Genomic DNA, 18,718 nt, shown 5'->3' with positions numbered 1-18,718 from the left:
CAATGACCATATCTCACTAGAAAGGGCAGGGGATGGGCAGCTGCAGTGATGGCCGGAAAGGCTGTGCTGATCTCTGTGGGAAGCCCTTCTCCATCAGTGAAATGGACTCAGCTGCTGGCACAACTTAATTTAATCCAAATTTATAATACCTCAAAGTTGTTTTACATGCTACATGACAAGAGTATAAAGTAGACATATTGTCACTTTACAGTCAAACCGTTTACAAAATTAATTCACCCATATTTCATAAATAATGCACATCATTCATTCCAGATAAAGTCTGTCCTTGTTCAGCACGTGCTGGGCTTCTCGTCACTCCCAGGCCCTTCCATGGGCCTCCTACCCAGGACACTGCCTCTCTTAACCTTCTGCATAACTGACGGTCCTACAGCAGGCTGATGCAGGGCTCTCTATTCAGTTGTCTCTGGCAAATCCCATAGTTTATAATTTGAGGACTTTAACACTGCTTCACTCTCCAAAAAATGTTAGAGTATTTTACATTTAGATACTAAAATGTATATGATGTGCAAAAACATGCATCCTGTTAGTTGTGCTACTTTCATGAAGTAACATTGTCCAGTGGAACTAAGTACTATTGTGATGCTGTAGAAATAGTGATTTTATGAATTTTAACTAAGAAATCACAATTTAAATTGGATTAATTTGAATATATTTATATAATTGTTCATGTATTTATAATATATGTAATTTAACAGCTTATATCATATATCTATATTGATTACATTCATATTAATATATCAAATATGCTAACACCATTTCAAACTATATTTTGATTTGATTGGTATTTTACCTCTTTGCATATGTAAAAACATAAATATTTATTTATGATGTCAATAAAATAAATAATGTATCTACTGGCTAGAACTATAGTGGGATAGAAACAGTTGCATAGAAAGTGAAGAAGAAGAATAATAGAAGGTGTTTCAGAATGAATGACTTCAAGCATTGCTCTCAGAAAGAGCCTGTGCAGAGGTGGAGGTTGCAGTGAGCCAAGATTGCACCACTGCACTCCAGCCTGGGCAACAGAGTGAGACTCCGTCTCAAAAAAAAAAAAAAAAAGGAAAGAAAGAAAGAGAGAAAGAGGAGAAAGAAGGGAAAGAAGGGAATGAAGGGAAAGAAGAGAAAGAAAGGAAAGAAAGGAAAGAAAGAAAAGAAAGAAAAGAAAGAAAAGAAAGAAAAGAAAGAGCCTGTGCATATATCACACCTTCAGATGCATGTAAGCAACAGACTGACCTGCCTGCAATGTTCTCTGCAATATTTTTATCTCACTGCAGCTATCTTGTAAAATTAAGACATTCTACATTTAGCATTTTTTCAAAAGTACACAAAATATTATCAAAGAATACAAAATTATGTAGCTGTCTTTAAAACATAAGAATGTTTAAAATAGAATATGAATTCCTCAGGATTGATGTTTTTACTGTACATCAGCATAGGGTTTTTAAAAAATGAAAGTGTAACTTGATTACCACTGTAAATAAAAAAGTTTTTAAATGAGTGTCATTTAAATATTTATGAATTAATGAAATTAAGAAAATGATTTATACCATTTTACAAACTGAATTAAATAATCAGCAAATAATCCTGACTCAATCAACCACAAACTAAAGACTATTACAATATTCCCACTATTTCGAGATGACTAATGAAAAAAATTACAGCAAAAACACAAAACCAACACACTATAGTTCACAATGAGGTTTAAGGAAAAGGGAAAAACGTAAATGCTACATACATATTTTGCTCCTGAAATTCAGAGCCAGACAGCAAAGAAATGAATGTTAATTACAAAAGGAAACTCCTATCAATACAATACAGACTAAGTGATACAGTGAACAAAACAAGAACATGCTTACCAGAAAATAATGATACTTACTGGAGAAAACCACATCACTTTAAGAATCCAAATTGTAAGAGCTAAATTCACAACGAGGATGATGAGTAAAAGAAGAACAAACAAGTAGAGACAGCGCTTTCTCCAGCCATAAATGCCAATTTTGTAGACATACTGATTCTCTGGCCTCTCTATGCAGATGCCTTCTGTGGCTGTAGTGTACTGCTCACGCACCATCTGCCACGGAGTGTGTTCACGAGAGGAGAGAGAAAGAGACAGAGAGGGAATGAGGGAGGCAACTTGTTTAATACTGATTTACTATGAGCCTGAAAACATATTTTTCATCCCAGTCATAGATTTCCAAAATTAATGATTTTTAAAAAGATAATTAAATATTATTTTGAAACATGTCACTGTGTTTCAATCACAGGGAGATATTTAATCTGCCATTTAAAATATTTTATATATGATAAACGTTTGAAATCTAGTGACCATATTTTCAAATGTTAATAAATTCAGATGTTAATAAATTCTCTGTATCTATCTATCAGAATTCTTCAGGGTTAAACTTGGAATTGAAACATTAACCTAAAATAATCAAGTTACCGAGTTCTACAAAGGTTAATTGGGAGGAAAATCAAACTGGTATGTGTAAATTTAAAAAGGAATCCGCAGCCAGGCGCAGTGGCTCACGCCTGTAATTCCAGCACTTTGGGAGGCTGAGGTGGGCGGATCACGAGGTCAGGAGATCGAGACCATCCTGGCTAACATGGTGACACCCCGTCTCTACTAAAAATACAAAAAATTAGCCAGGCATGGTGGCAGGCGCCTGTAGTCCCAACTATTCAGGAGACTGAGGCAGGAGAATCGCTTGAACCCAGTAGATGGAGGTTGCAGTGAGCAGAGATCGCGCCACTGCACTCCAGTCTGGAAGACAGAGTGAGACTCCATCTCAAAAAAAAGAAAAAGAAAAAAAGAAAACTTAAAAAATTATTCATTTTTCCCTTTATACAAATAACAGAAGTACTTTTTAGCTATGAAGCTAAAATTGGAGATTATGACTTTCCTGATTGTAAATGTAGTAAAAAGATGAATCAGAATATAAATACTCTTCTCTGGGATTTTTTGTGCAAAAGTCACACATTTATTTTTAGGGGTGATTTGGAGTTGTCCTTATTAAAAATAAGTTATGGTCTAAAACAAATCTTTAAATCTCCTTCCAATTTAACAATAGGCGTTTTCACATATTCTGATTATCTACAATGAGGCTATTCATCACACAGTATTTTCAAATATCCAGGACTGACAGCCAACATTATTCAACCCCTAAATGTTTAATGATTTCGTAAGCACATTATTCATTGACTCATTTCTTTGAACTCCTCCAGTCTTCCTTATATTAGAGCCAGTGGCTCGAACCAAACTACCAGATGTATTCCTGATGGTTCTCTCTTCCCTCAAGCCCCATATCAGCAAGTCCTATCAATTCTACCTTCCATATATATCTGAAATCTGTCTACATCTCTACATTTCCATTGCTACCACACTAGTTTAGGTTACTCTGAATGCTCGTAACTACACTGCTGAAAAGTCCACTTTCATTCTTTCCCTTCTTGAAAACCATTCCCCACCCAGCAGTCAATGTGTAAAATGTCAGTAAGCTCCTGTCACTCTATTTTTCCAAACCTTCTGATGGCTTTTCGCCACAGTGACAATGTCCAAACGCCTCTATCACCCACAAGACCCTATATGAGCCGGACTTCGCTGATGTCTTTGGCTTCATCTACTACCACTGTGTCCTTTGCTCACAAGACTGAAGCAAAGAGTAGATACTCTTCAACAGACCAGGCTAATTCTCACCCCAGGACCTTTGTCCTGGACTTGGTCTGCCCCTGCTGGTCCTGCTCATCTTTCAGTAGCAGCACACATGCCATCTCCTCAAAGCAGCCTCCCTCTCTGGACACGCAGTCACTCTCAACCTCTTCCCTCTATTATATTGATTCCAAAGTGCTTATCATTTGAAATAATGGCTCCAGAATTCCTATAAAGGACAGACTAGGAGAGTGCAATTGGATGGGGAAGGGTGGCCAGGGAGTCTGAACCAAAAGCAAGCACAGACTTACAATATTGCTACAGGTGAATACAACTAGCAAAGTTTTCTAAGAACACATGTGAGTATATTTCTATTTCTACATATTCCCAGTCCTATATATATAGTTTCCTATTGTTGCTGTAGCAAATTATCAGAAACCTAGTGGCTTAACACAATTTTATCTTATAGTTGTGGAGGTCAAAAAATAGGTCTTAATGAAAGCGTGGGCAAGGCTGTGTTTTTCTGGAGGGTGGAGGGGAGACGTTGCTTGCCTTTTCCAGCTTCTAGAAGCTGCCCACGTTCCTTGCTCGAGCCTCTGCTTCCATCATCACACACCCTCCTCTGGCTCCGATGCCTCTGTCTGCCCCTCACAGGGACCCCCGTGATAACACTGGGCTTGCCCGGATTACCCAGGATGGTCTTTCCCTTTCGAGAGCCTGGGCATAACCACACCTGCAGAGCCTCCTCTTCCACGTAAGGTGACCTCTTCACAGGTTCCAGGGGTTATTAGAACACGAATGTCTGTGGGGGCCATTATTCTGTCTACTAGATAATGCTTTTGTTCACCCTTACATAACACTGAGAAAACTTCAGTATCCATTTAAGACAATTTTATCGTGGTTTGCTGGAGAGCTGACAGCAATCCTGTTATGAGGCCAGCTCTTAGGTCCCCTAATCAGCACCTCTGCCATCGTCTTTCACCTGGGTCACTGCAACAGCCACCTGACTATCCCCCTGCCTGTGGCTCTAAATCTCCTACAGTCCATTTCTAACATCGAGGCTGGAGTGGTCCTTTCAAAACATGCATCGGCTCATGCCCCACCTCTGCAACAAACCTTCCCGTGGCTTCCCATTTCACTCAGAGTAAAAACCAAACTTCTCACCCCGACGGACATGGTTCTCTGCCTTCATCCAGTCCCTCTCGCCCTGACTCCTCCTGCTCCAGGAACAGTGGTCTTACTCGGCCAGGAGTCCCCCAAGTGTGACCCCACCTCAGGGACTCCACAGTTATAATTCCCACTACCTGGAAGGTCTCCCGATGCCTGCATGGCTCCCCTCAACTCTCTGTGCAAAGATCGCTTATCAACGATCTTCCTGATCATTCCTATTTCAGTAACAGGCCCCACCAACACCACCACAGAGCTCCCCATGCTCCTCTGACATTTTTTCTTCTGTAGCACTTAACTCCCCAGGCATACTACATATTTTACCTACATATTTTATTGTAAATGCTCACCCTCCACCTATAAGCCCTGAGAGGGTGAGGTTTTCAACTATTTTGTTATTTTGTTTTACCCTCGGCCCCTAGAGCAGCAGCCAGCATGTAGTATGTGCTTAATAAACATTTGCTGAATTAACTACATACAAATGTTGAAAGGAAAAATTCCCAGTTTTTTTGTTTGTTTGTTTGTTTTTTGAAACAGATTCTTGCTCTGTTGCCAGGCTGGACTGCAGTGGCGTGATCTCAGCTCACTGCAACCTCCGCCTCCAGGGTTTCAAGTGAGTCTCCTGCCTCGGTCTCCCAAGCAGCTGGGATTACAGGCACATGCCACCACGCCCAGCTAATTTTTGTATTTTTAGTAGAGACGGGGTTTCACCATGTTGGCCAGGCTGGTCTTGAACTCCTGACCTCAGGTAATCCACTCGCTTCGGCCTCCCAAAGTGCTGGGATTACAGGCATGCACCACCACGCCCGGCCAACCCAGACATTTTTTATTTAAGCGTACAACAAGCAATAAAATAGGTTGAGTGTTACTTCAGAATTTCCTCAACTTTTTATAATGAGTTAATTTGAAGCCTGTGCATAAACAGAGTACGTTTAGTGTGATTAGTTGTTTAGGACTCAGAAGAAGACTCAGCAAGATCTCCTTCAGTCTGGTGAGGCTTGCCCAAAAATGGGGAGCCTGGGGAATGTGCTGTCTTTGGCTCTTGAGTCCCCCCACATCTGCCCACCTGCCCTGCTGACAGCTTGAGTAAGAAGCTGGACCCCACATCCCTGGAAGAAAATACTGACCACACACTGCTTTTCGGAAGCTGGTGACCTGCTTTCTAGTCCTCCCATATTTGAGCTGTATTTACCAATCTTTGTTTTTTTTAAGTTTGCCAGCTGTAATTCTTTTTATATCGTTTTATGACAGCCTTCTTTAATGTTTTGAAAGTGCCATCTACCAGTGTTCACTGCATTGCATAAAAAAGTCCTTTTACTCTAGATAAGCATGAGTTAAATCACTAGGTGAAACACTCAATTTAAATATTTCTCTAAAAAGTTGATTTGTTTATATTTCTCACAACTCACAAGTGGCTTTCATTTTTATTAGACACTATATTAAATTTTTGCCAGGAGAGACTTTCAGAGGCTATCTGGTTTAACCAGCTTCCTTTAGGTATTTACTCAAATTAGGCTTGAGAAGAATATCAATGCTTCAGCACTTGGAGGTCAGGCAACTGCATTAGTGGTATTCATGTCAGCAAGAAATTGCATTGGAATAACACACAGCACTTTGTGGTCTTCTTATAAACCCTTTACAAAACATAATTAGTGAAATAAGTATATTAGAACTTAAAATCTATATTCCAAGATAAATAATTCTAATTTTTAATGTATCATGAACAAAATTTATTTTCATAGACTTGTTCATTAAAACAAATTTTGTCATTAAAAATTACATTATTTCTCCTGCTAACCATCCTTCAAAGTATGTTGGTGCTATATTTAATTTTTTTTTTTTTTTGAGACGGAGTCTCACTGTGTTGCCCAGGCTGAAGTGCAGTGGCACGATCTCGGCTCACTGCAACCTCTGCTTTCCAGGTCCCCGTCATTCTCCTGCCTCAGCCTCCTGAGTAGCTGGGACTACAGGCACCCGCCACCACGCCCCGCTAATTTTTTGTATTTTTAGTAGAGACGGGGTTTCACCATGTTAGCCAGGATGGTCTCGATCTCCTGACCTCGTGATCCGCCTGCCTCGGCCTCCCAAATTTTTTTTTTTTTTTTTTGAGATGGAGTCTCGCTTTGTTGCCCAGGCTGGAGTGCAGTGGCACAATCACGACTCACTACAACCTCCACCTCCCGGGTTCAAGCGATTCTCCTGCCTCAGCCTCCTGAGTAGCTGGGATTACAGGTGTGCGCCACCACATCCAGCTAATTTTTTATATTTTTAATAGAGACTGGGTTTCACCATGTTAGCCAGGATGCTCTTGATCTCCTGATCTCGTGATCTGCCTACCTCAGCCTCCCAAAGTGCTGGGATTATAGGTATGAGCCACCGCGCCCGGCCATGCTATATTTAATTTTGATTGCTTTTCAATGCATCTCTCAGGTATAGTTTTCAATCCTTTAATGGATAGGGCTCCAGATGTGAAGCACTATACTTGTTTTGGTGTAAATATCTGCTTTCATATGCTTCTGAATTCATGATCCCCAGTTTGTTATTTAAAACAAAATGACCTTAAGGACAGATAATCTGTCTTCTACATTATGTGATTATTGTCATAGCATATAATATAGTGAATCGAACATAGTGTCTTCATGATATTCTTCATTTCAACCAACATTTATTGTCATGCCTAGTTTGGGTAGGCCATTATCAAGAGTCTGAGACACAAAGATGATAAATGCAAGGATAATGCCCAAAATGAGTTAATATCATATGATTTTTGAAAAGGTGAGTTTGAGAAAGAACAAAACAGACCTTTTAGAAATGACATTTAATTCTATCTAAGAACTCAAAGAATGAGTTATAATAGTTCGAAGTTATCTGTCTGATACTGACTTTGGTATGCCACTTTTGGTTTCAATGTTTTTCTGGTACAAATTTCCACCACTTTGCTTTCAACAGTTCATTCAACACGTATCTACAAAGCTTTTTTCAGTGTTACGTCTTTTTTTTTCCATTGGGACTTTTAAAAGTTTCTTTACTTTTAGTGTTTTCCAGATTCAGAATGATTTCATTTCATAAATTTGAATTAATTTATTCTGTTCATGAGTCAGTGTCTGTTTTCAATTGAACTTGTCTTCAGTTATAGAAAACTCTTGGCAATTGCTTATTTAACCATTGTCTTTCCTATATTTTCTCCGGTTACTTCCACTGGGGCTTCAATTAAGATATATTTAGACCTCCTCATTCACCAGTCATGTTTTTTAAACTTAGCTTTATATTTCCACAGATTTATCACTCTGTGGTGTTTTCTAAGATCTACCTTCCAATATACTAATTCTCTTTGCAGCTGTATGCAATCTGTCAGATAAGAGAGTAAGCCATCTTTCTAATCTTCATGGGAGATTCACCTGAGTGTTAGCGATGGCATTCTACCTGCCTTGGGTAAGGTCCTTTCCGTTCACAGGGCTTGCTGACTGAGGGCTTAGCAAACCTCTTATAGCACTTATGATGTCAATCTGAAAACTCCTGAAAAATTACTTTCCACAGTTTCAAAAACTGTCTTTCATAAGCCATGTCACCTAGCTCTAATATCCAGATAGATAATTTCTTACTAGGTAACAAGCACCATCATGGTGCATCGTCCCTCCAAATGACAAGGTAACCCACGTGAGAAGTCAATTACAACGATGTGACTAGGTGACCGTGACCAGTATCAGTTATGTGCACATAATAGGCAATCAGTAAGTGCTTGTTGAACACACGAATGCATAAGGAGTGGGACTTACCCTACAGGTTGTGATGATACAGCTTTGTGCTACAGTAACAAAAAAAAATGAGCTAGTGACAGATAATTCACAAGTAAAAGAAAATGGAGAGTCTAGAAACAAGCCCATACACACAGATCATAATAAGGCAATGAAAAGTGAGAACTAAGAGGCATCCAGTCTATACAAGTTGCTCTTCCAGGAGGTGAGCTGGCAGGGAAGGAGCAAGCTAGTGGGATGGTTAAATTCAGGCTGCCTATGTTATGCTAGTATTGGGAATGACTGCATGGGTTTTACTTCTATTTTCCTTTAAACTTCCAAGAAACATCTCATCTCACGTTAATTAGTGGCAGTAATTCTCAGTGTGTTTTCTGCCTTACTGTTTGCATCATAACTTACATCATTCTGAAAGAGCTCCAACATTTCAGAAAGGAGGAGTGGAGAGGTGCCTGCCCTAGGAGATGTGTGGCACAAAGAACACCATGGCAGATAAATTGGGAGAAGTATTTGCCTTAAAGATAGGACAAGGTTAATATCCTTAAAATATAAATAATCTCAACCAAGCAAAAACAGAAAAAAATCCAATAAAACTCAAGCAATGAATACACGTATACATCAAAGAAATACACGTGACGAATAAACATACCAAAAATGTTCAGCTTCACCCTGAATTAAAGAAATGCCAATAAACACCATCACTGCAGCAGTTTTCAAAGATTAAGGGAAATTTAAAAACTGATAATAGATAATATTGGCCAGGTGTTTGAAAAAGAGACATGCTGCTCCTCTGATGAAGAAAGTGAAAGTTAACAATAACCCCCCCAAAAGATATTGGGCACTAAGTATTAAGAACATCAAACAAACAATAGTAATTCCAATTCTAGTAACTTACCCAAAGGAAACAACTAGAAACAAAAACTAGAATTTGTGCCTAAAGATCTTTAATTTACCATTATCTGTACTGGGGCAAAACTGGACATTAAATGAAGAAGGATTAAAATTAGAGTAATTAATCCATCAAATTACTATAGTATTACAAAATTAGTATTTTGGGTATGTGAAATATGTTTGAAAAACATATAACAACCTAGGGAAATTCTAGTGATATAATGTTAAATGAAAACTTAGAATATATACATATTAAAATATATACTCATAGGAAAAATACTGTAAGGAAACTAAAAAATTATTAATAATTTCCTCCTATAATCCACCTTTTTTCATTTAAAATAGTATTTCCCAAATTTCTTTTGTATTTTTTCAATTTATAGAATTGATATATATATTTCTTTTGTAACAGTAAATTTAATAAATTTACCATACTCATCCCAACTTCATTACTGTATTTAGGATGACCAAATAATTTCAAGAATAGTTCTCCTTTATCTTTTAGTCAAATTGCTCAGCACAGCACACTAAATATAGCAAAATAGATGGATCATAATTATCAATTTCATCCAAAGTTATAATCAGCATAATTCTCGAATAATAATACCCTTATTATACACACACACACACATCTAGATTAAAAGATCATCAAATCATTCTCTCTTCTTTACAATAGGACTGACTTTTAAAATAAAATGGCAAACTCTGCCATTTTAAAAAGTTCCCTACAAAATACACCAAACCAACAGAATAAATGCCCTTTAAGTATCTAACAGACCTGAAAAGAGAAAAAAACAAAACAAACAAACAAACAAAAACCTTTATTTAAACGAGCAAGTGACTAAAAGGGAAAAAAAAAATAAAAACAAGCTCAAACCCACAGGCCTACAAATGTTAGCTTATAAAACTGGTCTTGTTTTGATTTTTACTTCAGCTACAGGCTCATTTTAAAACACAGTTTTATATTTACACGGGTAGGCAATTCAGACAAACTCTTCTCATTGCTCTGTCCTGGTTTTTATTAGATGCTCTCAGAAATCAGAAATCTAAAGCTTTTATGGTGTCATTAGGTTAGTACTTGACTAAAGAATAATACCAACATCCAGAAACATTAACAAGTTAGCAAAAACAAGACACAGAATGGCAATAGAGCAAGACCAGCATTTATGGATACCTAGCCTCTTAACCAAGACCGGTTGTTATTTGGTACCAAATTTCCTCTAGCTCTTGGCATGATTTATACCTACCCTCAATCTCTGACTTAGTGCTCACATAGCTAATTGTTAAGTTAGTAGTTGGCTGCAATGAAAGCTGAGTTAATGTTAACAAAGAACTATATGGAGGAACTGTTGGAAGCTCAGCTGCAACCCTGTGTCTACTTCAGTATCCTATTACAGTGGGCACCTACTGTTTTCTTCTGTGTCCTATTACAGTCGATGTCTACTTTTTTCTTCTGTATACTGTTATAGTGGGCACCTACTGTTTTCTTGTCTGTCCCTAGAACACTCCTCAGCTCCCCACGGTTGTGGTCCAGCTATCGGTCATGTGGACACATGTCCAGTAACACAGGTGTGTATGTGGTACATGCTGACCAATCAGGGTATGTCATCAATCCAGACATGGTGAATACCATTAGGAAGTCATGGGACACAAGCAAGCCAGTGTCAGTTGTCCCAGAATTAATATGAATGCTCCAAGAGAGAAGCTGGCCTCTGCTATCAGAAGTTAATGGACCTAACACTGCACTGCCAACATTCATCCCTCCGCCACTTGGAGAGAGCTTGCCAGAGAAGAAATCAGGAAGAATGAAAGAAGAGGGAGAGAGTGTGAGAGTAGGGGTGAAATCCTAACAACATCATTTGAGATCCTAAATTCAGCACTGTCTAATTTATTTTATAAATTAGTAAGTTTCATCTTCACTTGAACTTCTTCGACTTGGGTTTCCGTCACTTGCACCCGAAACAGTCCTGGATAATACACATAGCAAGAGGCATAAAGGCAGGATGGCTTATGATGGTAAACCATGGAGTAAGAACACCTTCTACCAACATGGTAAGGAATGCTTGCAACTATTTTTGACCTATTTTCCTTCTGCACCAAACAGGTCCTTCTAAAGAACAGGCAAATCTTTAGATAGAAGGATGTATTTCCAGAAGTTATTTTGCCATATTTAGCTTTGGCTAATATCAATCAGAGGGATCACATAACCTCCTTGCTTCCAAATCCAATATTCACTTTCCTATTTTATTTCCCTCACTTTTTAAAATTTATTTCACTCTTCATTTTATTTGAAATGGTTGGCTATTTCCTCCTTGAAAACACTTTTTTCTTGTTTTCTTAAAATCAGTATTCTCCTAATTTTACCCTCTACCTTTCTAGACTTTAATTCTCAGGCCCTTTCATAATCTTCTCTTTTTCTCTGGCCTCTAAATGGTGGATTTTGCCTGAACTGTTCTGGGACCATCTCTTCTCTTCCTTCAATTTTTCAAGGTGATCCTATTCATTATCATGTCTTTAAATACTATTTACAGGCTGATGGTTCCCAAATTTATATTTCTACCTAAAATATCTCTGAACTCTCTACTCTAATCTGATAATTGCCTGTTTGACATCTCCACTTGGTATTTCGAACTGCACTTGTTAAAAAGTAACGTAATTTTCAATAACTTTCTCCTCACCTCCTGAATTTCCCCCCTTCTCTTCTCTATTCCCATCTCAGTCCATGGCATCGGCCATTCCCAGTTGATCATCTCAGAAGCATGAGTGCCATCACAATCTCTCTGCCACCTCACGTCTACTTCATCAGCAAGCCCTGCCTGCCACATCCTGAGGACAGCTGTGCTCATCCTGGCTTCCCCATCTGCACTGCCCCTGCTCCACTCCAACACTGACGGTGCAGCCTCTTCAGGGTCTCCTCCACCCACTCTGCCTCTCTTAATCCAATCTCCACATGGCACCCAACAAGAGGACCATTGCTGCCCTGTTTAAAGTCACTCGTGGCTTCCCACTGCATGTCAGATGAAGCTTCACTCCATCTGGTCCAGCCAGCCTCTCCAGCTCCATCTCACCTCACTGTGCCCTTCCCAACAGCACCAGCCTTTCCATCCCTCAAATGGAATAAACTTTCTCCTATCTTATAGTCTTTGGACACGTTGTTCCCACTGCCGGGAAAACCGGTCCATACCACGTGGCCACCACTCTGTCCTCCTGACCTCAGCCTTCCATAAACACCTGCTCTTGTCCCTTTTATCCTGTACAATCTGCAACTGTGTCCTGTTCATTTCCTCCAAAGTTCCTTTTAGGACATAATGATGCATTTATTTGTTTACTTTTTATTGCCTGGTCCTCATTAGACTCACCTCCAGGAAGACAGGAAGGGTGTCTGTTTGCTTATTATATAACTGGCACCTAAAGTAGGGTCTGGCACATAGTAACAGCTCAGTTATACGTATTTGTTAAAGGAAGGCAGAATAAAGTATATCCTCATCCACAATGTATTGGTCAAATAGATTTCCATGTTTAGGATATAGCATTACAATTAAAGACCTAAATTATTCTATCTTTACTCATACTTCATACATCTCTCATAACTGTTCTTTAATAAAGACCCTACCAGCCGGGCGCCATGGCTCACGCCTGTAATCCCAGCACTCTGGGAGGCTGAGGCAGGTGGATCACCTGAGGTCAGGAGTTTGAGACCAGCCTGGCCAACATGGTGAAACCCCGTCTCTACTAAAAATACAAAAAAATTAGCTGGGCGTGGTGGCAGGCGCCTGTAATCCCGGCTACTCGGGAGGCTGAGGCAGGGGAATCATTTAAACTCCAGAGGTGGAGGTTGCAGTGAGCCGAGATCGCACCATTGCACTCCAGCCTGAGCAACAAGAGTGAGACTCTGAGACTCCGTCTCAAAAATAAAATAAAATAAAACAAAACAAAATAAATAAAATAAAATAAATAAAGATCCTACCAACTTCAACAGAAACTCCATGAACAGCTGGGAAAAGAATCGAATGAAGGAGAAAATGATAGAGTTACATATTATTACTTCCAGACCCTTTAACTTCTGTAATAGTATGATTGATGCATATGCCATGATTCATAGGCTGAAACTTCCTTCATTTTTTTTTTTTTTTTTGGGACGCAGTCTCACTCTGTCGCCCAGGCTGGAGTGCAATGGCGCGATCTCGGCTCACTGCAAACTCCGCTTCCCGGGTTCACGTCATTCTGCAGCCTCAGCCTCCCGAGTAGCTGGGACTACAGGAGCCCGCCACCACGCCCGGCTTATTTTTTGTATTTTCAGTAGAGACGGGGTTTCGCCGTGTTAGCCAGGATGGTCTCGATCTCCTGACCTCGTGATCCGCCCACCTAAGTGCTGGGATTACAGGCGTGAGCCACCGCGCCCGGCCGACACTTCCCTCTTTTTACATCTCAGTGTCCGAGTACGCTACTCTGTTTCCTAGCATATATGTTAATCCGTAAGCACTGTCTTTGAATAGTGTATTTTAGGGCTTGACGTCATATAAAATTCTACCTTCATATGATGAATGTGTTGGATCGGGAAGGAAGATTAGTATCTGAAAAGCATTATTCCTACTTTTGCTTTTCAAATCTACTAGCTGAGGCCACTTCCCTTTTGCTATCCTATAAACCAGACTGAATGTCAAAGACAAACCTTATTTAGCTCTACAAGGATAATTTTATGATGATCAACTCTGCCAAGTGATCAACTCAAATGGCGGGCTTCTCCTCACAGCTGGGGACTGCTGGCCAGCACAGGTCTAGGATGCATCCCAACATTTGGTGGAATACATTTGTAATGCTCTACAGCAGGGCTCTGTGGTTTTGACATCTGGTCTTGGGCCAAGCAGTGGTCCATGGAGTCATGTTTCTTTCTGACCCCTGCACCCGATACCTTGACAACTGAAGTTCTCCTTGCTGTCTCTCCTCTTCCTTTCCTTCTTCAGACTGGCATTCCCTCCTTCAACTCTACTCCAGTCTGAGGTCTTACTAAAGCTCTCGGGAAGATGGTGTAGAAGATTTATTCATAGTTTCTGAAAATAAGACTTCCAAACAAAGTGGCAGATTAAAGGCATGCTATTATTTTGGCTCATAAAATATAACTGGAATTACTATGGCTGATCTCTGCTTTTAAAATATACAAATTGATTTCGATGTCAAATGAAGAAGATGATTTATGTCTTGATTTAATATGTAACTTTTTAGTAGACTATATATATAGATGTATTTTTTAAAGTTTCTGTTGTTGATTTTGTGTTCTGTTATCCAGAAAATATTTGCAAATTACTCAGAAAGTACCTGCAAACATGTGGCATGTTTGATTGCACAGTATTTTCTGAAGGTTATTATCAACAGAAAAGTTTCACCAAATATAGTTTTCAATTATTCAAAAAACTCTTTAACACACGAGGATTTTACAGGGCCATTTATTAGCATTTTCCTAATATCGTCAGTGATATAATAGTTCTCTTCAAAGTCCTGTGATGCTGTGAATGAGGCTTGCAATTGTGAATCTGACTTCTTAAGGTTTATCTGACTCCTGTACCTGCTGGCTGTCTTCCTCACAACAGGTGGATTGTAAATATAGTGGGTCAATTACAAGAATTTAATGTCATGAGAATTATAAGTTTCATAAAGGTTATCATGCCTCACTTACTATAATTATTTCAAACAAAGCCATTTTATTACGGCCGGACATATAACTTTCATAACCAATCCAGTTAACTTTGTAATTGTGATGCACCCCCAATATATGCAGGTAGCATATGTGTCTGGAGGCCTATGTTTTCTTAAAATTTATCCCCAAAGCTCCAAATGGAAAATACAATGCTCCCAGAATAATGTTTAGCATAGAGAAGTCATTATGCTTGCTATTACTGCATAGCATGTATAAAATTTATGGTTTTGGAATCCAGGCAATCTTAATATTTCAAAGATGATATATTTACAGAATATGATGATACTACATCCATCTTGACAAAGTTCTGGAGATTACTACTACAGACGTTACTCATATCAAGTCAGAAGAACTCTATAATGCCATATATTATTAATATTATCAATCAATCAAGACTCTCAAATACCAATTTACTAAAATTATTATATAATTGATCTATAATGTTCATGTACTTTCCACATATACTCATACAAAAATATTTTAAATAGAGCCATTATACTAAAATTATTTTCAGTATTGATTCCCCTCATTATTAAACACTTAAACGTTTATTTTATATTTTTATTCTTTTAAAATAGTTTGATAGCAGAATATTTAATCACACTATCAATGACCTCTAAGTTGTCTATGTTGAGACTAAAGGGGTAATTATTTAGTTGTCCTTTGACACAACCCTTTGAGCATAACCACTATTTAAGGTAGACTTTGTGCAGCTCTGAGCCTGAAGGAGCGGGCAGGGGGGTGAAGGAGTAGGGTAGGGGAGTTCAGTTCTGCTGATAGCTTTAACCTATTTCTCTAATTCTGAAACCAAGAAAATTACTCTTAAGTTCAAGTCTTTCTCTCTTGTCTCTTATCTTATTCAACATCCTCCCAAATTGCATCTATCTTCTCATACTATTTGCCCCACCTCCATGAAAGCAAGGTGATAGTTTTCTCTGTTAAGCCCTTTTTGAGGCCAGTCCCCATGTCCAGAAATCCTACCAATATCTGTTGACTGAATGCATGAATATAATGTAACAATGAAATCTCTACCTCAACTATTTTTAATTGTTATTCTACAGGACTACATGTTGGTCATATCTACAGAAATAACACAAGTAGGGAAAGAAAATTATTTTCCAAAAAAATTTCAGGAAAAAGGCCAGGCGCAGTGGCTCACGCCTGTAATTCCAGCACTTTGGAGGCCAAGGCAGGTGGATTCCCTGAGCTCAGGAGTTCGACACCAGCCTGGGCAACACAGTGAAGCCCCATCTCTACTAAAAATACAAAAAATAGCCAGGCGTGGTGGCATGCACCTATAGTCCCAGCTACTCAGGAGGCTGAGGCCAGAAAATTGTTTGAACCCAGGAGGCGGAGGTTGCAGTGAGCTGAGATCGCGCCACTGCACTCCAGCCTGGACGACAGAGGGTTTGGAACCACCAAACGGTCATTTCCCTGGTCAACAAATATGTAAGTGGAAAGGGAATATTTGATAGCTGGCAGAACTGCCACATGGGGAGTTCCTGTCCCTGTGTAGTGAGAGGACGGGGGATGACCGCCCGTCATCTCTCCACATCCTAGGAAGAATGGCAGAGATTAGTGCCTCTCTTGAAGAACAAAAGGTTAGTGGTCTCCACCATATTCCCATTTAATTCACCAATCTGGCCTCTAGAAAACCAGAGGTATCGTAAAGAATGAAAGTGATCTGCCTCAAAGCCAGCTGCACAGCTGCTGTGCCGGGGGAGGCATCCTTGCTCCTGTAGATTGGCGTGGCACCAGGCATGTGTGCCATTGAACTGGCACAGGCATCTTCCTCCCATTTATCTCACATAGAGGAACTGCAGAGCTTCATAGGCCCATGAGCTAGGCTGCAGTATTTACTTGCCACATTCCTATCCTCAGAAGGGATCTAGGCCATTTTGGACATTCTCAGAACAGCATTTGTCCACTAACTTCATGATACCATGTGGACCGGACTAGATGAGTGAATGCGACAAATATGTTAAAAGCCTTCTTAGGCTGGGCATGGTGGCTCACACCTATAATCCCAGCATTTTGGGAGGCAGAGGCAGGCGGATTGCTTGAGGTCAGGAATTCATGACCAGCCTGACCAACATGGTGAATACCTGTCCCAAAAAAAAAAAAAAAAAAAAAATTAGGCAGGCGCCTGTAATCCCAACTACTCCAGAGACTGAGGCAGGAGAATAGCTTGAACCTGGGAGGTGGAGATTGCAGTGAGCCGAGATCGCTCCATTGCACTCCAGACTGGGTGACAGAGCAAGACTCTTATCTCAAAAAAAAAAAAAAAAAAAAAAAAAAAAAAAGCCTTAGTAAAAGATGTGTTCAGACGGTGAGAGAGAAATCCTACCAAGATCTGAACCTGCCAACTTAGTGGTTTTTAGGATCTAGTGTTCTAGGGCATGCAGGGAAATCCCCTGCAAAGTAAAGAATTAATTATTGTATCTTGCACTTACCACCACTGTAAAGGAAAAATGATGCCTCCTAGACCACTTCAGGTTCTGGCCTTGGAAAAATTAACCCATTTACAGAATGACAGCTTTAGTGTGGCCAGAACAGGGCTCTGCATCAGGGCTGCACATACTGCAGGCTGGACCTGCTGGTGCCCCTGTGGGGTTAGATGCATCCTTGATGGAAAGAAGGTAATGTGGCATTTATGGCAAGCTGCAGTGGAAGAATCACAGCATAGGCCTCCAGGAGTTTGGAATCAGGCCATGCCATCTGCAGCAGAGAAATATATGCCATTTGTAAAACACTTCTCCGAGTGCTACTGGGTGTTGGTGGAAGACAGAGCACCTGGTCATGGGACAGCATAATCCCATGCACAGAATTTCACATCATGACCTGAGCTCTGTGAGATGCACCAAGGCCTCAGGTCAGGAGCCAGCAGCAATCACTGTTAAGTCAGAAGTGGGGCACCAGGGATGAGGCAGGCAGAGGGAACATGTGCGAGGGACCCAGAGTCCCGGTCACCCACCACTAATGCACCTCTCCTGGCCACACAGGGGTGACCCTTATGGCCAGCCTTCCAGGGAGGAAACGGGCCACATTTGGTAGGCCTCTGTGGGTGCAATCCACAGAAGGCCGGCTGCCACACTGCAATGGGTGGCCCTGAAAGATTGTGGTGAGAGAAAACCTCCTCGCTGACAAAGCTACAGGCAGCGCACCTGTGTATCCACTTCCTGTGGAAACAGAAATCACCTGAGGCTGAGGTTAGACTATACATGGTCTCATGGATGGTGGTGAATGGCTTGGGTGGAAGGGGAGAGTTTGGAATAGGGAGGACAGAGAAGTCTGAGGAAGAGGCTTGTGGATGGACCTATTGGGCATCAAGGAGGAAGATCTTTTACCACGTTAACAGCCTCCAAGCCGTCCACTGTAGAAGGGGCACCATAGCGAGAGTGGCTCACCCAGTTGACACAGCTGGCCCATCACCATCCACTCCAGGGCTCCCACAATGGGGTCATATACAGAGCAGCCCAGAATGGTGGCAGGGAGGGAGGCCATGCATGGGCCCAGTAGCTAGGCCTCCTCTTGGCAAGGCTGATC

At 40.3% G+C, this 18,718-nt stretch overlaps 1 protein-coding gene across 5 annotated transcripts in view; it reads right to left on the bottom strand.

Moving 5' to 3' along the window:
* SGCG (sarcoglycan gamma) overlaps nucleotides 1-18,718 on the bottom strand; it is a 164,655-nt gene that overhangs the window by 119,376 nt on the left and 26,561 nt on the right. For 2 of the 5 annotated variants that reach the window (NM_001378245.1, NM_001378246.1), the window contains exons 2-3: nucleotides 14,390-14,540; nucleotides 1,898-2,092 (exon numbers count right to left, since the gene is read on the bottom strand). The exons of 1 other annotated variant lie outside the window; for it this stretch is intronic. In NM_001378245.1, the coding sequence (NP_001365174.1) occupies nucleotides 1,898-2,092 (195 nt within the window). In that variant the 5' untranslated portion in view covers nucleotides 14,390-14,540. The remainder of the gene's footprint in view (nucleotides 1-1,897; nucleotides 2,093-14,389; nucleotides 14,541-18,718) is intronic. 2 more of the 5 variants (NM_001378244.1, NM_000231.3) reach the window with 1 other exon arrangement.

This window comes from Homo sapiens, chromosome 13, assembly GCF_000001405.40.
Source record: "Homo sapiens chromosome 13, GRCh38.p14 Primary Assembly".
In the NCBI taxonomy this organism is placed as follows: Eukaryota; Metazoa; Chordata; class Mammalia; order Primates; family Hominidae; genus Homo; species Homo sapiens.
This window is presented reverse-complemented; position numbering and strand designations above follow the sequence as displayed.